We start from the raw sequence: 26504 nt of genomic DNA, 5'->3' as shown, positions 1-26504 counted from the left end.
GTTAATATTTGTGGACGTAAGTCATATTTTAAAATATAAATAAAAATAGAAGAGTATACATGTGAATATCATTTTCTTTTTCAAAGTCTTTAAAAAATACATTTTTTCATAAGAACTGATTTATATTTTGTTCATCCCATGAAGGCTCTTAAATTTGTCTAGCAATCATTTTTTGAGTTCCTAGTATATGCCAGGCATTGTCAGCCTGCCCTTACTGCAGATATTTTTTAAGTTATCAGTTTTTCTTATTGGAGGCAGTCGAAAGCCTTGCATTTACCAGTTTGATAGCTATTTAAAATCATTAGCCGGTTGTATAATAATGGACAGAGAGAATGGTATGATCATGAGTGGTACTTTGGTACTTCTTTTATTTGTTTACTGATTTCTTTATCTTTAAGATGTCAGGATTCTTGTTTATATATTTGGTTGATTCTATCAAATGACAAAATTTGTATGTAACTGCTTTCTCCGGTTCAGTGCTTTTTGACTCTTAATAATGGTGGTGGTGCTTTATATTATTGAACAAAGTAGTCTCTGGGAGAAGTTGTCCTGATAGGTTGAAGTCATTCAGAATGATAATCAAATGCCGTCTTCATTATACATGACTGGAAGAATTCTTGACGTTGATCAGCATTCTGCAAAAAAGCAGAATAAAAATGCCTTGTTGAACATTTAGAGTGGGGGTATTAGCATCTGTGTATATGAGTTCAAAGAAGGCAGCAGGTGACAAAATAACCATATGTAAATTCTGGAAAACATTCTCTTCTAGGTGTTTATTTTCTCTTTGCACTTTAATTTTCTGCATAGTGAAGCCAAGAATTACTGTAAATACATTTCTAAATCCCTTAGTCTAAACCACTGAATATTCAATAAATGGCTGGGAAAAAAAGGTATAATTTAAAGGAGTCTTTACAAATAAAAAGGAATTGTTAAAGAGACCCAAATGAAACAAGTAAAAAAGTTTTTAATGTGCATAAATAAAGATACATTTGGAGATAACTGCATTGCTACCAGGGAAATCCCATAAGCAGCTCTGAGTGATTGTATATATATAAAATATAAGAGAGATATATATATATAATATAAGATATATATGATATATATACATATTTTATATATATATCTTGACCTCTAAATAACCTAAGACAAATTATCAGATAAGTGTGAATAAATAGGAAGAGGAAAAAAATGTATTTCTGAAGCTAAACAAATGAGAAGTGTACTATGTTCATATTATTTCAGAGCCAGGGAAAGGAATTTGTGGGATTGAATTTGCCCATGCAGAATATCAGAAAGAGAAACTCTTGAATTCATTGATCCTAGGCTCCTACAGTCAGGATCTAGCTCAGGTTTCAGCTGATCTGTGCTATCTGGCTTTTATGCTGTGTCGACCTACTGTCTTTGTTGCTTTCAGAAGTTTGACTACAAAGACTTGTCTTCTGTCCCTGCCAACCCTCTATCCTTTGAAAGCAGAGCTCCTTCTTATCCCACCTCACATACTTCACTTCCAAGATTCATTGTGTTGAATTCCTCCTGGCTGCCTGTAGAAGCATAAGAATTTGAATTTTGGTACCCCTTTTAGGAGGAGGTGGGCTTTCATATTTAAATTCTTGCTTCTCGTAATGGTGCACATTTTTTCTCTGACAGAAATGAAGTGTCATTAAGTACTGCATTTAAAGATAAGAGGGCAGCTTTAAGAGGTCACCTTGAAAAAACACAGTAAGAACATGCACTTCTAATATTCTGTTGAGAAGTGAATGCATGCTCTATCATTTTACTCTTCCTTTCCCTCATCTCCATTTCCTACTTTGATATTTGTTAAGGTTTGGGGACTACTGAATACATTGTAAGAAGTTTCCTTCAAGGCATTTGTTCGTTATTAACGGACATTTGGTGCCATCTGTGTTCAAGATGCTATGCTGTAAAGATGTAGTTGAGGTTCTATCCTGTCAAGCCGGTAAGTTGGCAGGAGTTGATAAGGGAAGGAGCATGCTTTTCATTCACTGTTGATGTTACTTATCCTACAAAATTCCTTGTTTGTACACGTTTTCCTCTTTGTCCTAAGGCCCTGGCTGAGTTCCCAAAATTAGGTTTGGTCTTTATAATTTGGAAGAATTAGTTTGTCTTTGAGGAGATAAAAGAGATTAAGGCAAGAATTGTAGGTTGTGGCTGTCAAAGACAAAATTACTACAAATTTAGTTTAAAGATCTTAATTGACTTTCATTTGCCATTCAAGAATCAGGCAACACTTCCTTCTATAAAATAGAAGAGGCTAGTTTTATAGATGGAAAAAGGCTGAGGAAAGCAGAAACAAAAATCAAAAAGCAATTGATCTTTACAAAGTTATTTTTCTTGTAAAGGTTAAAGCAAAGGGGACTTCCTTATGCTGGCTAAAATTGTTCTCTTTGGTGATGTGGCTGTTACTCCTCTTCTGACTTCTCAGAAGGTAACGTGAAGATCTTAGTTTTGGCTTGGTGGCGATGCACAACTGTATACAGTTCCATGGTTTTCAGTATAACTAGAAGTTGATGGGAAATAAGGTGGAATTGCTTTATGTATACATTTGAGGATATAGTGTTACCAGTTATAAGTGGTATGGAATCTAGAGGAAAATGAGGTAGGTCAGTGAGTACTGACTTGGTCAGAAAAACCTTCAAAATGAATATGTGACCTGACTGTACCTTAGGGAGAATATTCCAGGTAAGAGCAATAATGTAAGAAGAATCAGATAATTAAAATGAGGCATAGACAATATACATTCTTCTTGTCTTCACGTGGCACCTACTCTAAAACCAACCACATAATTGGATATAAAACAATCTTCAACAAATGTAAAAGAACTGAAAGCATACCAAACACACTCTCAGACCACAGCACAATAAAATAGAAGTCAACACAAAAGCATTCAAAATCATATGATTACAGGGAAACTAAACAACATGCTCCTGAATAACCTTTGGGTAAATAATGAATTTAAGACAGACATCAAAAAGTTTTTTGAAAATAATGAGAACAAAGATACAACGTACCAGAATCTCTGGGACACAAGTAAGGCAGTGTTCAGAGGGAAAATCATAGCACTAAACGCCCACATCAAAAAGTTAGAAAGTTCTCAGATTAACAACCTAACTTCACAACGGAAATAATTAGAGAAGCAAGAACAGATCAACCCCAAAGCTAGCAAAAGATGAGAAATAACAAAAATCAGAGCTGAACTGAAGGAAGCTGAGACACAAAAAAACATTCAAAATATCAGCAAATCCAGGAGTTAGTTTTTTGAAAAAATTGATGATAGGCCACCAGCTAGACTAATTAGGAAGAGAGAAGATCAAATAAACACAATTGGAAATGACAAAGGGAATGTTACTACTGACTCCAGAGTAGTAAACAACCATCAGAAACTACTACGAACACCTCTAAATTGCTGGAAACATACACCCTCTGAAGACTGAGCCAGGAAAACATTGATTCTCTGAACAGACCAATAACAAAACTCTAAAACTGAATAAATAATAAATAGTCTACCAACCAAAAAAGCCCAGGACCTGATGGATTCATAGCTGAGTTCTACCAGATGTACAATGAAGAGCTGGTGCCATTCCAACAGTAACTTCCAAAAAATTATGGAGGGGGAACTTCTCCTCAACTCATTCTGTGAGGCCAGCATCATCTTGATACCAAAACCTGGGAGAGACACAACAAAAAAAGAAAATATCAAGCTAGTAACCTTGATGAACATTGATGCAGAAATCCTCAACAAAATACTTGCAAACTGAATCCAGCAGCACATCAGAAATTTAATCCACCATGAAGTAGGCTTCATTGCTGGGATGCAAGGTTGCTTCAGCATACAAAAATCAATCACAGTGATTCATCACATAAATAGAACTAATGCAGAAAAGGCTTTTGATATAATTCAACATCTCATGTTAAAAACTCTCAATAAACTAGATATTGAAGGAACATACCTGTAAATAATAAGAGCCATCTATGACAAACCCACAGCCAACATTATACCAAATGGGCAAAAGCTGGAAGCATTCCCCTTGGAAACCAGCAGAAGACTATAGGATGCCCTCACCACTTCTCTTCAACATAGTATTGGAAGTCCTAGCCACAGCAGTCAGGCAAGATAAATAAAGGACATCTAAATAGGAAGAGAGGAAGTCAAACTATGTCTGTTTGCAGACAACATGATTCTATATCTAGAGAATGCCATAGCCTCAGCCCAAAAGCTCCTTCAGCTGATAAATAACTTGAGCAAAGTTGCAGGATACAAAATCAGTATACAAAAATCACTAACATTCCTATACACCAACAACAACCAAACTGAGAGCCAAAGCAGAAAGTCAGTCCCATTCACAGTTGACACACACACACACACACACACGCACACACGCCTAGGAATACAGCTAACCAGGGAGGTGAAAGAGCTCTACATGAGAATTATAAAACACTGCTCAAAGAAATCAGAGAAGATACAAACAAATGGAAAAATATCCCATGCTCATGGGTAGGAAGAATCAATATCATTAAAATGGCTATACTACCCAAAGCAAATTACAGATTCAATGTTGTTCATATCAAACTATCAACAACATTCCTCACAGAACTAGAAAAAATTATTTTAACATTTATATGGAACAGAGCCCAGATAGCCAAGATAGCCCAGATAGCCAAGAGCCCAGATAGCCAAGGCAATCCTAAGCAAAAAGAACAAAGCTGGAAGAATCATGTTACCCAACTATACTACAAGGCTCCACTCCCAAAACAGTGTGGTACTGGTACAAAAACAGGCACATAGACCAATGGAACAAAATAAAGAGTCCAGAAATAAGGCCGCACATCTATGACAATCTGATCCTCCCCAAAGCTGACAAAAACAAGCAATGAGGAAAAGACTCCCTATTTAATAAATGGTGCTGGGACAACTGGCTAGCCGTATGCAGACGATTGAAGCTGGACCTCTTCCTTACATCATGTACAAAAATCAACTCAAGATGGATTAAAGAGGCTTAAATGTAAAACCCAAAACTGTAAAAACCCTGGAAGACAACCTAGGCAATACCATCCTGGCAGAGATTTCATGACAGACATCAAAAGCAATTACAACAAAAGCAAAAATTGACAAATTGGATCTAATTAAACTTAAGAGCTTCTGCATAGCAAAAGAAACTGTCAGCAGAATAAACAGCCTACAGAATGGAAGAAAATATTTGCAAATTATGCATCTGATAAAGGTCTAATATCCAGGATCTATAAGGAACTTACTTAGAAGAGAAAAACAACCCCATTAAAAAGTGGGCAAATGGCTAGGCATGGTGGTTCATGCCTATAATCCCAGCACTTTGGGAGGCCGAGTTGGATGGATCACTTGAGGTCAGGAGTTCGAGACCAGCCTGGCCAACATGGTGAAACCCTTTCTCTACTAAAAATACAAACATTAGCCGGGCATGGTGGCACATGCCTGTAATCCCAGCTACTCAGGAGGCTGAGGCAGAAGAATCGCTTGAACCCGGGAGGTGCAGGTTGCAGTGAGCTGAAATCATGCCACTGCACTCTAGCCTAGGTAACAGAGCGAGATTTTGTCTCAAAAAAGAAAAAAAAAGGGGGGGTGCAAAGGACATGAACAGACACTTGTTAGAAGACATGCTTGAGGCCAACAAGCATATGAAAAAAAGCTCAATATCACTGATCATTAGAGAAATGCAAATCAAAACCACAATGAGATACCATCTCACACCAGTCAGTGGCGATAATTAAAAAATAAAAAAATAACAGTGCTGGCCAGGTTACAGAGAAAAGGGAAACCCTTATATGCTGTTGGAGGGAGTATAAATTAGCTCAACCATTGTGGAAAGCAGTATGGTGATTTCTGAAAGAGCTAAAAGCAGAACTACCATTTGACCTGGCAGTCCCATTACTGGGTATATACCCGGAGGAATATAAAGCATTTTATCATTGTGAAGCCCAAATATTGTGAACTCCAAAATTGACAAGTCTCAGTCAATTTAGGAAGTTGATTTTCCCAAAGTTGAGGATGCGTGCCTGTGACACAGCCTCAGGAGGCCCTGATGACATGTGCCCAAGGTGGTCCGAGTGCAGCTTGGTTTTATACATTTTAGGGAGACATGAGACATCAATCCATATACGTAAGATGAACATTGGTTCGATCCAGAAAGATGGGAGAACTCGAAGTGGGGAGGGGGCTTCCAGGTCATAGGTAGATAAGAGACTAGTGGTTGCATTCTTACTGAGTTTCTGATTAGCCTCACCAAAGGAGGCAATCAAATATGCATTTATCTCAGTGAGCAGAGGGATGACTTTGAATAGAATGAGAGGAAGTTTGCCCAAGCAGTTCCCGGCTTGACTTTTCCCTTTAGCTTAGTGATTTTGGGGCCCAAGATGCATTTTCCTTTCACACCATAAAGACACATGCACGTGAATGTTCATTGCCTCACTGTTCACAATAGCAAAGATACGGAGTCAACCTAAGTGCCCATCAGTGACAGACTGGATAAAGAAAATATGGTACACATACACCGTAGAATATTATGCAGCCATAAAAAGGAATGAGATCATGTCTTGGGGGAACGTGGATGGAACTGGAGGCTATCATCCTTAGCAAACTAATGCAGGAACAGAAAACTAAATACCGCATGTTCTCACTTGTAAGTGGGAGCTAAATGATAAGAACTTATGAACACAAAGAAAGAAACAACAGACACTGGTGTCTTCCTGAGGGGGGAGGATGGGAGGAGGGAGAAGAGCGGAAAAGATAACTGTTGGGTACTGAGCTTAATACCTGGGTTATGTAATATGTACAACAAACTCCCATGACACGTGTTTATGTAACAGACCTTCACATGTATCCCCAAACCTAAAATATAAAATGAATGTAGGGGTTTTTATTAGACTCTGGGTGGAGAGATACATGAGAAGGTTCGTATTGGTGAATCATAGGAAATAAAGTTGGATAGCTTTAGGAATGAGATGGAGCAGGGTTGTTTTTGGTGGGTTTTTTTTGTTTGTTTTTTGTTTTTTTTTGAGACAAAGTCTCGCTCTTGTTCCCCAGGCTGGAGTACAATGGCGCAATCTTGGCTCACTGCAACCTCCACCTCCCAGGTTAAAGCAATTCTCCTGCCTCAGCCTCCCAAATAGCTGGGATTACAGGCGCCTGCCACCACGCCCGGCTAATTTTTGTATTTTTAGTAGAGACGGGATTTCACCATCTTGACCAGGCTGGTCTCAAACTCCTGACCTCAGGTGATCCGTCCGCCTTGGCCTCCCAAAGTGCTGGGATTACAGGCATGAGCCACCGCGCCCAGCCTGGAGCAGGGTTTTTAAAAAACTATTTTATTGGAACATATCTCACATACCATAAAATATGAAAGTGTAGTCATGTGCCGCATAGCAACATTGCAGTCAGTGACACATCACATATACCATGGTGATCCCATAAGATTATAATACTGTATTTTTACTGTACCAATTCCATATTTAGATATGTTTACATACACACACGCTTACCATTGTGTTACAATTGCCAAAGTATTCAGTAGTATCAGTAACATGTTATACAGGTTTGTAGCCTGGGGGTAGTAGGCTATACCCCGTCTGTGTAAATAGACTCCGTGATGTTCGCACAACAGTGAAATTACCTAGTGATGCATTTCTCAGAACGTGTCTGCCTCAGGCTATGCACAACTGTATAAAGTTGCATGGTTTTCAGTATGTTCTCAGGGTTGTACAGCCAATCACCACGGTCTAATTTGAGGACATTTTTATCACCCCAAAAATAAACTGTACCCAGTAGCAGCCCCTTGCCATTCCCACCCTTAGCTCTAGGTAACCACAAATCTGCTTTCTGTGGATTTGCCTCTTCTGAAACTTTTCATATAAATGGAATCGTACAATGTATGGTCTTTTGTGTTTGGCTTCTTTCACTTATAAAGTATTGTAGTATGTATCAGTACTTCATTCCTTTTTATATCAAGCTGGTCCCTTTTGTGGATGTATCATGTTTTGTTTATTGATTTATCACTTGATGGACATTCGTATTGTTTCTACATAACCTTTAACCTGTTTCACTATGAAAAATGCTGCTATGAACATTTTTGAAAAGTTTTTGTGTGGATGAATTTATGATTTAATTTCTCTTGGGTAGAATTTCTGGGTCATGTTGTAAACCTTAAGTTCAACATTTTTAAAAACTGCCAAGCTATTTTTCGGAGTGGCCGCAGCATTTTGAGGCTTCTCCTTTCCCTGCATCCTAGCCTACATTTGTTATTTTCAGTTTCTTTGATTATAATCATACTAATGGGTGTAAAGTGGCATATTATTGTGGCTTTGATTTGCATTTTCCTAATGACTATCAAAAGACAAAATTACAACAAATTTTTTAAAATTTAAATTTCTTCATTTAACAATTCTAGAATGGGCTAACGCTTCATTCTGTAAAATAGAATGTATTCTGATGAGCTGACCTGAGGTTTTATAGACAGAAAATGACTGAAGGAAATATAAACAAAGAACAAGAAGTGTATTGGTCACTTTAAAGTTACTTTCCTTGTAAGGCGCAAGGTGGGAACAGTGAAACAGAACAATAGAAAGTAACTGATTGGTTAACATTAGGTCACTTCAGGTTACATTTTGTTGGAAGGATTAAAGGTCGAGGGAACTTTGTTATCATGCTGATTAAAAGTGGCCTGCTTGAGAAATTCAGCCATCTCCCTCTCCTGATTTCTAGGAATGCCAGATAACTCAGTTTCAGTTTGATGGTATGGAACTTTAGTGTGAGTGACTCCATTACTGCACTATGCCTAGTGCAGTAGCTTAGCCCAAAACAATGCCTTATTTAACATGACTAAGGATGTTGGACGTCTTTTATGTACATATTGACCATTTATTTCTCTTCTTTGGAAAAATGTCTATTTAAGTCTTTTGCCTTAAAAGACTTTAATTGGGTTGTCTTTTTGTTGTTGGGCCTGTAGGAGGTATTTTATATATTCTAGATACAAGTCTTGCCCCTCTCCTCCCTCCCACCCCCTACCAGTGTGAAGCCTCTGATGCTGCCACTCAGGGGGAATAGCCTTGAGTATGCCCACAATAAGGATGGCACTGGTTTTGGTAGAGCTTTCTTTGGCTGTCTTTTCCCCTGACCACACCCACCTCTTAAGCTCCATTACTTGCAGACTGATTGTGCTATTGTTTTCAAAGTCTGGGGCATAAATTGTTTCACAAACTGATCCAATCAAATTTATACTCCTTTGTGGACATAGTTTTCAAGGGCAGCGTTTGAGTTTGTTCTGACCCCAAAAAGGCTCTTCCCAGCTGTTTCTGTTTCTTTCCAGCATACTAGGAAATCTACAGTTTAGCCTTTATCACCAGTGACTCTTTCAATCTGCCTTTCATCACAACCACCACTATTCTGGAGAGCACCGTTCAGTTTGGACTTTTACATACTTTGTTGCAATGAAGTCAGTTCCTTTGGGTAAAGATTTGGAGCTCTGTTTTATGGCCTGCTTCTTTGCCCAGTCAGTGTTGGAGTCAGGCTCCAGTGCTGGCGGAAGGGACAATGGATCATTCTCACTACAAGACCTCCTGATTTAGGAGCTGAGTGTTCAGTGGAGCAAGAGGCAGCAGCCCAGGTTTCTTGGCTTGTCTCTCCTGGCATGGAACCCCCACCCCAGGATCTGGGGCAAAAGCTGTCAGGACCCTAGTGTTCTCAGCAGCACCATGCCCAAGGTGGAGCCTCCATCCCCCAAGTGGGACTGGGGCTGAGGAAGGGAGGCTCCACCTCTCAGCCACACTTGCCCAGAACTTAGCCTCAGCTACAGGTGGCTGTGAGAAAGGGGAGAAATGCCTGCATGCTGCCCCTCTTGCTAGAGCCCTGTGATCTTGGCTCTAATTGGGGGGTAGAGTTTCTGTCTTGCCAAGCTGTGAGGGGAAAGGAGGAAGAGGGCTCTGTTTCAGACATTACAGACTCTCCTTGTCCTCACCGAGCTTTAGTAGATTTTTTTGAATAGATGTTTCTTCATTTGCTGTATACCCTTAAGACGATTTCTAGAGACTTTAAATGGTTGGATTAAAAAAAAATTTTTTTTTAAATAACATTTACGCATTTCACTGAGGAATGGGTCTGAGGAGCTCCCCACACTGTCATGTCAGAAGGGAGGAGGAAAAACAGGTTAGCCACCTCTTGGCTACTTTTTACCACCACGATCCTCAATTTCCTCTCTTGTAAAATGTGAAGAACACTATTCTTATCGGTTGTAAGGATTAGTGAAATGACATATATGAAAACTTCATATTGCTAATCCAAAATAGGTAAAACAGTGTGCAGAAGCAGGCTGATGTAAGCACTAGCATTTCTCTTCTCTAAACTGTTGTGCATTCTAGAAATGGTAACACAAAGTTACTAGACCTCAGAAATTCTGGTGCTTATACATTTTTATGACTAAGTTGTTTATGGCACACATCATTTTGGTTGTGCTAGATGGTTTCACTTTTTGATTACTCTTACCTATTTTCTTTTAAACGTTTTTAGATGGTATGTGGGCTAACCCAGGTCAAACCTCTTCTCAAAACAACTTTTTTCTAGCTAATATTAATACCTCCCTTGTTCCAACTCCTGTTAAACTTGTATTCAGTTGCTATAGCTGGTTTTATTTTTTGTTTTTGAGTCACAGTTTTGCTGTCACCCAGGCTGGAGTGCATGCACTTGCACTGTCATCGCTCAGTGCAACGTCCAACTCCTGGGCTCAAGCAGTCCTCCCACCTCAGCCTCCTGTGTAGCTGGGACTGCAGGCACACACCACCACACCTGGCTAATTTAATTTTTAGTAGAGACAAGGTCATTATGTTGCCTAGGCTGGTCTCAAACTCTTGGACTCAAGCGATCCTCCAATCTCAGCCTGCCAAAATGCTGGAATTACAGGCGTGAACCACCGTGCCTGGCCTACTATAGCCTGTTTTAACATTCAGTTGTTCATCAATGATTTCTTACTTACCAGTTTTGGTTCCCTGTGTAGATGGTAAGTTCCTTTTAGGGAAGACCTGTGTCCTCCACACTACCTGGAACACTTAAATACTTATTATTATTTTCTAACGGCAATTTTAGTTTTGTAGAACTTTCAGCCTTAAGACTAGTCTAGTCATACGTTCATAAATAACATAATGATGTTCATGATTATTAGCTACCACACCCAGCTAATTTTTGTGTTTTTAGTAGAGTCAGAGTTTTGCCATTTTGGCTGATCTCAAACTCCTGACCTCAGGTGATCCGCCTGCCGTGGCCTCCCAAAATGCTGGGATTACAGGCGTGAGCCACCATGCCTGGCTTATACCTGCTTTGTTCATTTTGTTCACGTATCAGTACCTCTTACTGCTTCTGCCTCATTCTTTTAAAAGTATGTGCTGTTTCAGTGTATCAATATATGTATTTCAATGTATTTAACCTATTCTTTTACTGATGGAGAATTCATTGGCTATTTTTTTTTCCTGTTACATGATAGTATGCACAAGTTAGTATTGGGTCCTGTGTTGAGAATTTTGAATTAAAATTTGTTCTTTAAATTAAAATGAGCTGGTTCTCAAGAAATGAACAGTTTCTGAGTTCTTTTTTTTTCTTCTTTTACCTCAAGTGATCCTCCCACTTTAGCCTCCCAGGTAGCTGGTAGCTAGTACTATGGGTGTGCACCACCACACCTGGCTAATTTTTAAATTTTTTATGGATACAGGGTCTTGCTATGTTGTCCAGGCTGTTCTCTAATTCCTGGGCTCAAGCAGTCCTCCCCCCATGGCCTCCCAAAGTGCTGAGATGACAGTCATGAGCCACCATACCCAGCCACGAAATGTATAGTGTTTATCCAGAAGATAAAGCTGACACGTGAAATCGTAGCAGAATAATTAAATGTTTAATTGGCTTTTACCTTTTTTAAGGGTAATTATACAGAATATACAGAATTGTTGCATCAAGTAGTGCTTCACTTTTTATAAGTGCTCTAGGAGAGATTTCTGACAAGGAAAAACTAGGTACAGGAGTGATCAGAGATGTCCACAGGACAAAGCAATGTGTATGATCCTTGTTTATAGTTCCGTCTTTGATTTTTGTTCCAACTTTGTCATTTTCTACTTCCAAAATTATCCAGATTCATACCAGGTACCTTTCAGAAAGGCAAATTGGTAAGATTGGGGCAGAGTGACCTATAGTGAGAAGCAAGGGGATATAGTGAATTATTGATGTATATCACTTACCTAATGCAATAATTTATTCCTTTTATCAATTAATATTAATTGACTACATGACATGTGCTGGAGGAAAAGTGGTGAACAAAGAATCTCTTTCCTTGTTGAATGTATATCCTTGTAGAAGAGGAGACAATAAATCTAAAAGTAAAATAGAGAATATGTTAAGTATTGTGGTAACTGTCCAAAGATAGCTGCCTAGTGCACTATGCTTCCCAGTCCCACATCTTTCTGTTGTCCTCACCCACAGTTAAAGAGTGGGCTGGTTCTGTGTAATCAGTAGGACATGGTGGAAATGAAATATCCTTGCCTTTGTTTTTTTGGAATGGCTCCGGGGGAAGCCAGCATCTGTGTAAGAGGTACTGTGCTACTGTGAGACCTCAAACTATTTGTGTGGGAAGGCTGCATGGTAAGACAGAGATACCTGGCTACACTTCAGCTGTTTCAGCCATCCCAGCTAAGGCACCAGACTTGTGATTAAGGAGGTCATCTTGGATATCTAGCTGAATCTAGCCTTCACATGACTCCAGTGCCGGCAGCCATTTGACTGAAACCATGTGAGAGACTCCATACAAGAACCACTCAGTTGAAGCCAGGCAACCCATAGACTTGTGAAAGATAGCAGTAGATTATCATTTTAAGCCGCTAAATTTTAGAATGATTTGTTGCTCACCAATAGGTAATCAGAACAGATGGTGATTTGTATTGCGAAGAAAAATAAATTGGGAAAAAGGTTAGGGAGAGAGAGATTCTAGTTTAAATTGGATGGTCAAGGAAAGCTTTACTGAAAAGATGTTCAAAAAGCATGAGTGGACCAGGTGCGGTGGTTCACACCTGTAATCCCAGCACGTTGGTAGGCCAAGGCAGGCGTATATATCACTTGAGGCCAGGAGTTCGAGACCAGCCTGGCCAATACGACAGAACCCCATCTCCCATCTCTACTAAAAATACAAAAATTAGCTGGCCACAGTGGCATGCACAACTGCAATCCCAGCTATTTGGGAGGCTGAGGCACAAGAATTGCTTAAATCCAGGAGGTGGAGGTTGCAGTGAGCCGAGATCACACCACTGCACTACAGTCTGGGTGACAGAGCAAGACTCTGTCTCAAAAAAAAAAAAAAAAAAGGAAAAAGCATGACGGACATATGGGAGTAAGTAATGTTGATACCTGGGAAAGAACATTTCAGTCAGAAGGAACAGCAAGTACAAAGATTCTGTGGCTGGAGCAGCCTCAGGTTTTCAAGAAACAATCATGAAGGCAGGTATGGATCGAGCATAGGAAAGAGAGGAAGATTAGTGGGAACTGAGGTTAGGCATAGAGGTTGGGAGTAGGTGCAAATTATATATGTGAGTGATGTTCATCTTTATGAGGTGTAACACTTTTGTAAAAAAGAATTTTCATAACTCCTTTTCTTTCCCAAATATAGATAATATGTATAATGAAATGTAGATGATATAAACTTTTTATACACTTAATTGGAAAAATATAGTGCTTCCAACTTAATATAAAAAAGAAAGAAAAGTAATATAATCAGTGTATTTTATTATGTAAATACTGTGGTCTAGAAGAATGTAAGTAGCCTTTATATAGAGATATAAAGAACTGCTGACTTTGACCACTATAAATTAGGACTTAAACAGGTGTGTTATATTGGTGACTCACATATCATGAACAGTTTGCTATTTGTGATGAGAATACTGGAGTGCAGTGGCGCGATCTCACCTCACTGCAACCTCTGCCTCCCGTGTTCAAGCAATTCTTCTGCCTCAGCCTCCTGAGTAGCTGGGATTACAGGTGCCCACCACCACGCGCAGCTAATTTTCTGTATCCTTTTTTTTTTTTTTTTTTTTTTTGTGAGACGGAGTCTCGCTCTATCGCCCAGGCTGGAGTGCAGTGGCACGATCTTGGCTTACTGCAAACTCCGTCTCCCAGGTTCACGCCGTTCTCCTGCCTCAGCCTCCCGAGTAGCTGGGACTACAGGCACCCACCACCGCGCCTGGCTAATTTTTTGTATTTTTAGTAGAGACGGGGTTTCACCGTGTTAGCCAGGATGGTCTCGATCTCCTGACCTCAAGTGATCTGCCTGCCTCAGTCTCCCAAGTGCTGGGATTACAGGCATGAGCTACTGCGCTCAGCCGGTAACTCATTCTTGATAAGAGTTCCGCATGAAAGTATTAGCTTTCCCTTGATTTACATGGAAGATGCATTCTGGAAAATTCAGAGCATATTAAAATAATACAATTTACCTAATTCACTAACATGAATGTTCCATTGCATATTTGAAACTTGGGGTAGTACCCACTAAATTTCAGTAGCTCTCCCCAGTTATGACAACCAGAAACATTCCCTCTAAAAAGGACTTTTTAGGCCATTATAAGAATATTGGCTGTGAGTCTTTGGAGAGTTATAAGCAAAGGAGTAATAAATCACTTATATTTTAATGAGATCATTCTGGCTGCTATATGGAGATTAAATCAGGGAGAGGTACAGAAGAAGAGAAACCAGTTAAAAGTCTAATGCTGTATTTTAGGTGGACAGATAGTGATTTACACAGGAGTTGAAATTGTACATCCTCAAATGTGGTTGGATTCTGGAGAGTGAGAGAGAGTTTTTTTTTTTTTTTTTTTTTTGAGACAGAGTCTTACTCTGTTGCCAGGCTAGAGTGCAGTGGCACAATCTTGGCTCCACCTCCCGGGTTCAAGCGATTCTCCTGCCTCAGCCTCCCGAGTAGCTGGGACTACAGGTGCGCGCCACCACGCCCAGCTAATTTTTGTAGTTTTAGTAGAGACGGGTTTTCACCATGTCGGCCAGGATGGTCTCAATCTCTTGACCTCGTGGTCTGCCCGCCTTGGCCTCCCAAAGTGCTAGGATTACAGCCATGAGCCTCTCTGCCTGGCCGGATTCTGGATATATTTAGAAAGTAGCTTATGCATCTTGGATCTTGGTACCAGGGTACATGTTTTTTGTTTTTGTTGTATCTATTCCTGCTGTGTATTTTCCCAGAAGTGATTATGTTGAATAGTTCACCTCTGCTAGACTTTTGAACTTTTAATATAGAGAGAATTATTTTTTTTCCTACAAATGGTTATTTCCATTGCTAATTAAAAGTAGAAAAGTAGCGTTTCTTCTTTTTAAAAAACATGAACTTTCATGTTGCTAGTCTGGACATTAGAATTCAAGTAATCATAAATGAAAAGAAAATGTCAGCTTCATAAACACTGGAAAGTTTTTTGAGTTTATACTCTTTAGGGCCAATACCATCTAATTATTAGGGGAAATTGGTTTTTGTTGGAAATTAGACATTTATTTTATGCATGCCATCTTTGAAGGAAGCATTCCATGGCATTGTTGACTTCAAGAGACACTTTGATCTCAAAAAATGATGTGAATCCCTTTTGGATAATCTTTGGATAGCATCAAAATCGTGACTTTTATATGAGTATGCTTTATAATGGCTTATTCTTTTTTTTTGACACGTAGTTTTGCTCTGTTGCCCAGGCTAGAGTGCAGTGGCACCATCTCAGCCCACTGCAACCTCTGCCTCCTGGGTTCAAGCAGTTCTTGTGCCTCAGCCTCCCTAGTGGCTGGGATTACAGGCACCCACCACCGTACTTGGCTAACTTACTCTTGATTACCACAGCCAGAGGTAAAGGGCAACCAAGCCCTTCTGTTCCAGTTATCAATAACTTAACTTCCTCCTTGCAGCAACTGCAAGAAAGTATATTTTGTGGGGGGGTTTGTTTTGACCCAAGGTCTCGCTCTGTCGCCCTGTTGGGAGTGCAGTGATGAGCCAGCGATCATGGCTGTCTGCAGCCTTGACCTCCTGAGCTCAAGTGATCCACCCACTCCAGCCTCTAGAGTTACTAAAACTACAGGTGCGCACCACCACACCCAGCTAATTTTTAAAGTAGAGTCAGGGTCTCACTATGTTGCTCAGGCTGGTCTTGAACTCCTGGTCTCAAGCAATCCTCCTGCCTCCACCCCACCGAAGTGCTGGGATTTATAAGTATTTATTGAGTACCTGCTGTGTTTAGTGGTAGTCAAGTCCTTTGTGTGGATACGTGGTTTGGAGACTTAACTCTGGAGCATAGGTATCCCTTCTCACAGAAGTCCTAGTTAACGGACTAGGACCATATCTTATCATATTCATCCTTAAAGCCCCAATCTGACAATGAATAAGCCAAAATTAATATTTTTCAAGCAATAGTGAAAAAAAGTTTGGTTCATTTTTCACCGACCCCTTTACATTTAGGAATAAGTTTGCTGTTTTGCAATTTTACATTTGTGTTTATCTCCTGTAAAAGAAAAATAAGGCAGCATTGTATATTCACTTTCTGTTTTGCCTCAACCTTACCCTCTAATATTAGACTCCACGCGTCTTTTCTTGATTCATTCTTTCTCAGACTGCTCAGCAGGAAAACACTGTTTACAAACAGTCTGACTTAATAACTTCCTTTCCTGCTGATCAAATAGTTGTTTAAATGAAACCTTTCTCAGGGCTGAGTGGGTGTTCTAGTTAGTGGGTGTTCTGGAATGTAAATGAACCCTTATTTTAAGAAAGATTATTTTTATACTAGCAGTTCTGTGTACACCAAGATACACATTTGTAGCAAGTGGAAAGTATGGAAACATAAACTGGACTTATTGGAAATTTTTAGATTAGTGAAAGACCTACATATATGGCTTGTTAATAGGCAAATCCCAAAACTAACATAACCGGCAAAATAGAATGCAGTTTATTGAGCCTGTTTCCCTTGGCTTTGGTTTTTACGTATGAGATGCAGTCTAATGGCATGCAGAACAATTTCTGCAGCAATGATAGCAACTGCATTTGAGATACAGCTTGATAGGGATCATGAAACTACCAACCCACAAATCTTTGGAGACTGTATGACAGATTTAGTTCCTATGATTGATTGCTTGGTTGGTTGATTGATTTTAGAGGCAGAGTCTTACTCTCTCACCTAGGCTGGAGTGCAGTGGTATGATCATAACTCATTGACCTCAAACTCCTGGACTCAAGTGATCCTCCTGCCTCAGCCTCCCGAGTAGCTGGAATTACAGGCACCCTCCACTACACCTGGCTTGTTTTATGTTATATGATCAGCATTTCATACTTAGGAGAGACTAATATTAAAAGCATTTTAATCCAAAGCTTTATTTCAACACTACAGGATAAAAAATGCGAGAGCTGGGCACAGTGGTATATGCCTGTAGTCCCATCGGAAGGCAGAGGTGAGAGGATCACTTGAGCCCAGGAGTTCAAGACCAGCCTGGGCGACATAGCAAGACCTTATCTCAAAAAAAAAAAAAAAGTGACATGACTTATTGGAAAGGTGATTGTACTAGAAGCTGAGAAACCTGGATTCTACAACTGATCTTACCAAAAAGTAGTTGTATATAACATTTATTCTAACATTTGACATTTAACATTTTTAAGCTTTAGCATCTTTTACAAGAGGGAAGTTGAATTAAAATTTTTTTTTTTGAGATGGAGTTTCACTGTTGTCACTCAGGCTGGAGTACAATAGTACTAGTTTCAGCTCACAACAACCTCTGCCTCCCAGAGTCAAGCAATTCTCATGACTGAGCCTCCCAAGTAGCTGGGAATACAGGCGTGCGCCACCACGCCTGGCTAATTTTTGTATTTTTAGTAGAGATGGGGTTTCACCATGTTGACCAGGCTGGTCTCGAACTCCTGACCTCAGGTGATGCGCCTACCTTGGCCTCCCAAAGTGCTGGGATTACAGGCGTGAAAAAATTAAAGTTTTATCTAACTTAGATTTTTTTATTCTTTACTATCTGTATCGTGAAAGGCATAGCCTCCCTCTAATCTCTTAATTGGGATCAAGAAAGAAAATAGGATATTCAGTGGTTATATGGAGCTTACAGATGGTGAGTACTCTCCCTTTTCTTCATGATCTTCAAAGGAAATTGCAGATTGAGGTAAACAGGACAATAGCATGCCATTATGATTTTAAACCTTTTAAATTTCTGAACCATGCTTCATCTTTATGTATTCTCTTCCCAACTTTTTGTCTCTGGGATTATGAGTAAATAGAACTGGGTAAAAGGTGGGGGTAGGGTACAAAGTAGAAAATGGAAAAAGTAAAAGGAGATAAAAATAGATTGGGTGTTTCAGTGATTGTAGAGGTCAAATAAGTTTTCCATTGTTGATTATATTCCTTTCCACTGTTCAGCTTACTGCTATTTACTCTCGCTCCTTGCTATATATTTTACATGGAGACAGAGTCGGACTTGTGTGGGTTTTTCTATTTAATTCTCCTGAGATTGTGAAACTGCTCAGCTAAATTTGTTCTGCTGTGAGAACAAATAACTGGAGGGCAATTCAAAATACTTGTTTAATATTTTCTTGGAAATCCTCAAAGAAACAGGGAGGATTTTAGATCCGTGTGGTAAGAAATTCACTGGGATACACACATTAAAAAAATTTTTTTGGTAGCTCTTGGTTTCCCCTTTCTTGGCTGTGCTATTTACTGTCTTCCAGTGGCAGAATAACCTAGCAAAAATTTTTGTTTTGCATAATAGAGAAAGGCTAGGTTAAGTTTTATTGCACTAACGTAAGTTTTATATGATCAGGGAAAGGTTAGTCTATCATGGACTGTTTAGGATGGGAGGTAATCATCCTTTATATTGATTTTCAAACATTTTTGTTCAAAAGTGTTTTCCAAACAAAATCTTATACCAAGACCCTCTATAGAAGATAGATAAAAGGAATGACTTTGTTTATCAGATAGCTCAAATCCACGTGGTTTTGTTGATAGACTATATGAATGCCTTAACAGAGCATTGGGAACTTGGGAGATTGCAGGAAAAGGCTTAGTTACGCAGGACTTTGTATATATTGCAGGACATGTTGGACTCCTGCCCACTAAATGCTCTACAGACTCCTGAAGTATTTTCTAGGGAACACTATCATCATCAATGAGAAGCACTAATCTGTAATCTCTCCCCTGGCGATTTTATTCACTTCCAAGGCTTTATGTACCATACCATCTACATACTGACTGCCAAACTGTTTATCTGCAGTCCCAAACTGTTTATCTCCAGGTTCTGTTTCTGAGCTCCAGATTTGTAGAAGCATCTGCCTACTTGACATTTCTCCTTTGATGTCTAATATGCATTCAAACATAGTATGTATTAAATAAACCTCTTGATTTTTTCCTCCAAAGCCTTTTCCTCTTCTTTTTTTATCTCAGTGAAAGTTACCATCTACTCATTTGCTTAAGTAAAAAATCTAGATGTCAGACTTAATTCATACCTCCCCTGCCTGTCTCCCCAAACCTCACATCTAATTTATCCGTCCTTTGTTGGCTCATCTTTAACATAAATCCTCAACCTCTCCATTTCTCTGTTTCCAATGTTACCAGTTTAATTCAAGCTACTCTTCTTGTCTTCTGATTGGTGCCCCTACTTCTACTCTTATCCCTTTATTATCTGTTCTCCGCTAAGACACTAGAAGAATTTTTTAACTCATCATGCCACAACCCCATGCTTACATTTCAGTGGCTGCTCTGTGATCTTAGAATAAAATTCAAACTCCTTATCATGATCTATAAAGGACCCATAATCTGATTTCTGCCTACCTGTCTAACCTCATCTTTTTTTTTTTTTTTTTTTTTTTTTTTTTTTTGAGACGGATTCTCGCTCTGTCGCCCAGGCTGGAGTGCAGTGGCGCGATCTCGGCTCACTGCAAGCTCCGCCTCCCAGGTTCACGCCATTCTCCTGCCTCAGCCTCCCGAGTAGCTGGGACTACAGGCGCCCGCCACCACGCCCGGCTAATTTTTTGTATTTTTAGTAGAGACGGGGTTTCACCGTGTTAGCCAGGATGGTCTCGATCTCCTGACCTCGTGATCCGCCCGCCTCGGCCTCCCAAAGTGCTGGGATTACAGGCGTGAGCCACCGCGCCCGGCCTAACCTCATCTTTTAACAGTCTTACTCTTGAGTCCCTCAAGCTACAGTCACCTGCCTTCCACTCTCGTAAGGTATGACACCCCCTTCCCACGTACTGATCTCTCTACTGGCTGTTCCTTGTGCCTGGAGTATTTTTCCCAGTTTATAGTATAGCAGATACATTCTTATCTTTCAGGTCTCTGCTTGCTTGTTACTGCTTAAGAGCCCTTCCCATACCCCAGTACCCAACTCATTTATCCCAGCTTGTAATTATCTTGATTCTTTATTAGTTTACATGTTATTTTCTTTTTTCCCCATTAGAATGTAAGCTCTTTGAGAGCTTATGTTCTCTTATTTATTGCTCTCTCTCATGTAGCACAGTGCTTAGATGAATGAATGAGGTGTATATACAGATTATCACGGAAATGCAGAGAAGGGTCATTTTTACTAGTCTAGGCATGGAGTTGGGGGCTATTAGCAGTAAGAAGGCCTCATGGATAAGTGATTTTTGAGGTGAATGTATTGTGCTGTGGTCCTAAACTGCTGTGAGGTGAACAACGTAGGCAGTGTGACATCAGTGGACCAGGTAGCCAAGACTGCTGCTAAGTGACTATAAGATTGGTAGCATATAGAGCATGGATACCCCAGACAAAGGAATGATTCATGTCCAGGGCAGGATGGAGTGGGACAGCCTGAGATTTCATCATGCTACTCAACACAGTGCAGTTTAAAACTTAAGAATTCTTTATTTCTGGAATTTTCCATTTAATATTTCCAGACTGCAGTTGACTATAGGCGACTGTAACCATGAAAAGTAAAACTGTGGATAAGGGGAGACTACTATGCCTACTTAAGGAATGTTTTGAATAATGTGATAATTAAGTCAGACAAACATGTATGTATGTTTGCATGTATGTATGTATGTACGTACGTATTAGGGACAAGATCTTGCTCTGTTGCCAAGGCTGCAGTGCAGTGGTGCAATCACGGCTTGCTGCCGCCTTGAACTTCTGTGCTCAAGCAATCCTTCCTCAGCCTCCTCAGTAGCTGGAACTACAGGCACGTGCCTCCATGCACAGCTAATTTTTAAATTGCATTTTTAGACATGGACCTCTCACTATGTTGCCCAGGGCTGGTCTCAAACTGCTGGACTCGAGCAGTTCTCCCACCTTGGCCTCCCAAAGTGCTGGGATTATAGTTGTGAGCCACTATACCTGGCCCCTCAAATTACTGGTTTTATCATCTAATTCTGAAACTTCTAGACACATTTTCAAACTGTTAAAATCCTGTTTCTGAGTCTCATCTTAGCAATAAAGAAGCTAGAGTAAAGATCAAGTTGTACCCTACATGAATACAAGCCACCTCTTCAGCTTCCTGGTACTATCTGTACTCTGTCTGAGGACTTTATCTCCCTCTTGGTCACATTTGCCGAGATTGATAGAAATGAATCCAGGCACTCATTCATTCATTTGTATCCACATGCACATTTTTTTGTATCGTGACTTAACACACACACACACTCTCTCTGCATCTCTCCATCCATATATGGTCATGTGTCGCTTAACGATGGAGATACTTTCTGAGAAATGCACCCTTAGGTGATTTCATCATTGTGCAACCATCATAGAGTGTACTTACGCAAACCGAGATGGTATAGCCTACCACACACCTAGGCTGTATGGTCTAGTCTCTTGTTCTTTAGGTACAAACCTATTCAGTATGTTGCTGTACTGAATACCCTAGGCAACTGTAATAAAATGGCAAGTATTTGTATATCTAAACATACATAACATAGAAATTGTACGATAAAAATACAGTATAAAAGGTTTTTTTCTTTTAATGGTACACCTGTATAGGGCACTTACCATGAATGGACATTGCAAGACTGGAAGCTGCTCTGGATGAGTCAGTAAGTGAATTATAAGTGAGTAGGAAGGCCTAGGACATTACTGCAAACTTTGCAAACCTATGTACTTAAGCTACACTAAATTTATTTTTTAAAATGTCTTCAGTAATAGATTAATTATTAATACTAGATTATCTTAGCGTACTCTAACTTTTTTACTTTATAAACTTAATTTTTTAAAATATTTTTACTCTTTCATAATACTTAAAACACGTTGTATGAGTACAAAAATATTTTCTTTCATTATTCTATAAGCTTTTTTCTATTAGAGATTTCTTTTTTACTGTTTATACATTTTTGTTAAAAACTAAGACACAAAAATACATTAGCCTAGGCCTATACGGGGGCAGCATCATTAATACAGAGGTGGAATCGCTGTCTTCCACCTCTGTATCTTGTCCTACTGAAAGGTCTTCAGGGGCAGTAACACACATGGAGCTGTCATCTCCTATGATGGCAATGCCTTCTTCTAGAATACCTCCTGAAAGACTTGCCTGAGCTTGTTTTACAGTTAACTTCTTTTTTTAATAAGTAGGAGTACACTCTAAAGTAATGATAAAAAGTATAGTATAATAAATATGTAAATCAGTAACATAGTTGTTTATTATCATTATATGACTGGAAGTGCAGTAGGTTTGTTTACAACAGCATCACCACAAATACGTGAGTAATGCCATGCTCTGTGACATCACTAGGAAATAGGAATTTTTCAGCTCTATTATAATCTTATGGATGCGTCATATCTACAGTCCATTGTTGAACAAAATGTCAGTATGTAGTACATGACTATATTTTATCTGTATTATTCATCATATAGAGTACTGTGGCTGCTCTGTGAATATAGTTATTGTATGTATTTCTTTAAGGGAAAATGAGTTCTGAGATGCAAAATAACCAAGTTAAAAATGAACTTGCTGGGCTCGGTGGCTCACACCTGTAATCCCAGCACTTTGAGAGGCTGAGGTGGGTGGATCACCTGAGGTCAGGAGTTTGAGACCAGCCTGACCAACATGGAGAAACCCCGTCTCTACTAAAAATACAAAATTAGCAAGGCGTGGTGGTGCATGCCTGTAATCCCAGCTACTTGGGAGGCTCACTTGAACCTGGCGGGGCAGAGGTTGTGGTGAGCTGAGATCGTGCCATTGCACTCCAGCCTCGGCAATAAGAGTGAAACTCTGTCTCACAAAAAAAAAAAAGAGCTTTCTGGATCTCTGAATGTTATATTTCTGCTGTATCTTAAAAGCAAACAAAATAATTAAAAATAAAGGAAAAATTAAAATCTTTGTTGCAATATCAAAACACAATAATGACAAAAATAAATAAGAAGTGTGAGACAATGAGATAAAGTATTTTTGCTGGTTTATGTTCAGAAATATTTTTTATAATGAATAAGAATTCTGATTTTGAGATTTTATCTCAATGTGCAGTACTTTAAAAAATGTTTTTTATATTCTTTTATATTGTACCATTTCTCTCAAGGATTTGAAAGAAATATATTGAAGATGGGATCAAAGTAGATGAATTTATGTACCATTGTTTCAAGAATCGGAAGTGACGACTTAGGTGCTGGAAACAACAGAAATTACCACAGCATTACTATGCAGAGATTCCTTGGCGGGGGAAAACACCCATATATTCACATCACACTATCTGCCACAATGTACAAAAAAATTCTGCAGTTTATTTCTGGTTGATACAGTTATATGGCTACCCAGTTAACTGGTTCTACTTATTAAAAAGTTCAGCTTTGCCTCACTGATTTGATATAATACTTTTATATGTGAAAGTCTGTGTTTAGGCTTTCAGTTATATCCCACAGGTTTACTTGTGTACCACTAATATACTGTATTAATTTAGAGGCTTTATACTATGTTTTAACGTTTGGTTATTCAAACATTTCTTTTATTGCTGTATTCCTTGGATTACATTATTCCTTAATTCCCAAGGATTAACACAAATGGAGGTTTTTTTCCATGCTCTTTCCATTGAGAAATTTGTGTCCTCGCTCAGATTTAGGTATCTCCCATATTTCCAGGTCCTACTTCAATTCGTTTTTCAATTGAAGAAATATTTACTGAGTAACTGCTATTCCCAGGTAATAGGCTAGATGCAGGATCCAGTAATAAGAGAGACCGTGTCCCTTAGGAGCCCCAATATTTCTTAATTTGATGAGATAACACTGTGAAACAAAAGGTATTTAGTATGAATCTTTGATCTTAAGAGGTTTGAGAATTTGTGAATGTATCTGGAGGAGGTTACACTGACAAAGTTCTGATTTATTCACTCATTATCAGTCAGTCAGCAGCCTAAAGGAACTTACAGAACATTCCCCATGTTTCTTACTTTTTAGGTGTACCAACATTCCAAGAAATTCTGGCTCATAGATTCCTAAAAAAAATAACTGCTACTCAGTGTAATGGCTGAAGGTAGTAGTGTATGAACCATGTGATCCGTAGAAAATGATGCACAAAGCACACTAAAAAGCCAGTCAGTACCACTATGTACCTATTGAGCGGCCAACATCCATAACACTGACAACACCAAATGCTGACAAGGATGTGGAGCAGCAGATTTAACAGCCACTTTGCAGTATAGTTTGGCAGTTTCTTGCAAAACTAGATATACTCCAACCATAAGAACCAGCAGTTCTGCTCCTTGGTATTTACCCAAAGGAGTGGAAAACTTATATCCACACAAAAACGTGCACATGGATGTTTACAAAGCAGCTTTATTCATAATTGCCAAAACTTGGAAGCAACCAAGATGCCTTTTATTAGGTAAATGGAGAAATAAACTGTATCTGTTACATCCAGACAGTAAAATATTATTCAGCACTGAAAAAAAATGAGCTATCAAGCTATGAAAATACCTGGAGAAACTTTAAATGCAAATTACTAAGTCAAAGAGACCAATCTGAAAAGGCTACATATTGTATGATTTAAACTGTGTGACATTCTGGAAAAGACAAAACTATGGAGAAAGTAAAAAGATCATGGTTTCCAGGGGTTAGGGGAAAGGGAGGGATAACTAGGTGGAGCACATATTTTTAGGGCAGTGAAACTATTCTGTATGATACTGTAGTGGTGGATACATGTCAGTATGTATTTGTCCAAATCCTGTGGGACTGTTACATGTTATGAGTGATATGCTCTGACACTCCTGGGAGACTCCTTGGTTGCCTAAGGTGCCTTTCAGCCAGGAGGTACAGTTCCCCTTGTCTTTGGGACTTTTCTTGTGCTCATAAAGTCTTTTATAAACTTTGGTCACTCAAAAGGAAATTTTAAATGTGCCAAATTGAATGGAGCTTTAGATCTGGCCAGTTTAAGAAAATTTGCCTAAGCTGTAGACATTCACTTCCTCTTTTCAAAGAGAAACTGCTTTCTCCATGATAAAATTTCAAATGAGAGAAAAGGTTACAAACTGTAGTGAATAAGACAAGCAAGACTTTTTAATCTCAGAGAAAAGTGAAAAAATCACAAATATACACAAATAATGGAATAAGAGAATAACAAACTAAACGCCTACCTTAAAGTAGTGCTTCAATTCCAGTCTCATCAGTTGTTGAATCAGGTTCCATAAAGTCTGAATCTCAGTCAAGCCAGGGAGATTCAACCTTGAGAGTAGTCTGACCAAGGGCTTCTGCAGTCTTCAGCGAGGTCAGTTGGATGCAACGGTCCATGCTGGTGCTGGGGCTCCAGCTGTTGGCAAAACAGCAGGAGTCAATGAAGGCCTAATTTGGGTCCCATCTGGTTCACCAAAATGTCACCCTGAAATAATCAAGAGGCCCAGAATCCAATTTTAAAAGAGTTTGTTCAAGTGCAAAATTTGAGACTGGCCACCCAGAAAAAACAAGACTCCAGAGTAGTTGGGTCATTGCTGAGAAGTGGAGAAGCTGAGGCTTCACTTATATAAGTAGAAGCAAAGAAGTTTACAAGTATTACCACATTTTTAATACAATGCTGATTTATGAGTTACAGCAGTTTGATTGGTTACAGCTTATTCTTTTTCAGGAAAGATATATTTAAAATTGCATCCCTATCAATTTGGTAGTCATGGGGCCTTTCGCCATCTGGTCTGAGCTGGGTACATGAAAAAGGAAGGATGTTAATCTATAACAAAGAATTAGTAACTAAGAGGTAAGGGGCACCATTTAATCTTTCACAACGTTTTACAGGGCAAGAAAAATAAGAAAGAAGGTTAATCTGTAATAGGAAGAAACAAAAGTTGTAGTGACTTGCCCGTATGAGCTAGGTCTTACAATCAATCACATTTTATTCAAGGCTCAGAGTAATTTAAAGTTTCAGCAGCTTTCATTTAAATTATTTTCACATTAGCCATTTGAGTCTTCATTTCTGTATATCTTCTTTCTCATTTGGGGAGCAGATTATTTTCTCTTTTTTTGTTTTCTTGGCAGGAGTTCCTTATATATTCTGT

At 39.1% G+C, this 26504-nt stretch overlaps 1 protein-coding gene and 1 long non-coding RNA gene across 27 annotated transcripts in view; one reads left to right on the top strand and one right to left on the bottom strand.

Annotated features, from left to right (window-relative positions):
• The window catches only part of NARS2 (asparaginyl-tRNA synthetase 2, mitochondrial), a 138897-nt gene that overhangs the window by 15966 nt on the left and 96427 nt on the right, over nucleotides 1-26504 (top strand). The window contains exon 6 of one of the 26 annotated variants that reach the window (NM_001425312.1): nucleotides 1648-1719. The exons of the other annotated variants lie outside the window; for them this stretch is intronic. The gene's annotated coding sequence lies outside the window, so the exon portion shown is untranslated. The remainder of the gene's footprint in view (nucleotides 1-1647; nucleotides 1720-26504) is intronic. 26 annotated transcript variants of the gene reach the window in all.
• On the bottom strand, nucleotides 334-25723 carry NARS2-AS1 (NARS2 antisense RNA 1). Its single transcript, NR_120566.1, has 4 exons — nucleotides 25596-25723; nucleotides 12259-12390; nucleotides 3530-3684; nucleotides 334-635 (listed from the first exon to the last, which is right to left on the bottom strand). It is a non-coding gene; the product is annotated as an NARS2 antisense RNA 1 (long non-coding RNA).

The sequence above is a fragment of the Homo sapiens genome, chromosome 11 (assembly GCF_000001405.40).
Source record: "Homo sapiens chromosome 11, GRCh38.p14 Primary Assembly".
Classification (NCBI taxonomy): Eukaryota; Metazoa; Chordata; class Mammalia; order Primates; family Hominidae; genus Homo; species Homo sapiens.
The sequence above is the reverse complement of the archived record's forward strand: the minus strand, read 5'-3'. Positions and strand labels throughout refer to the sequence as shown.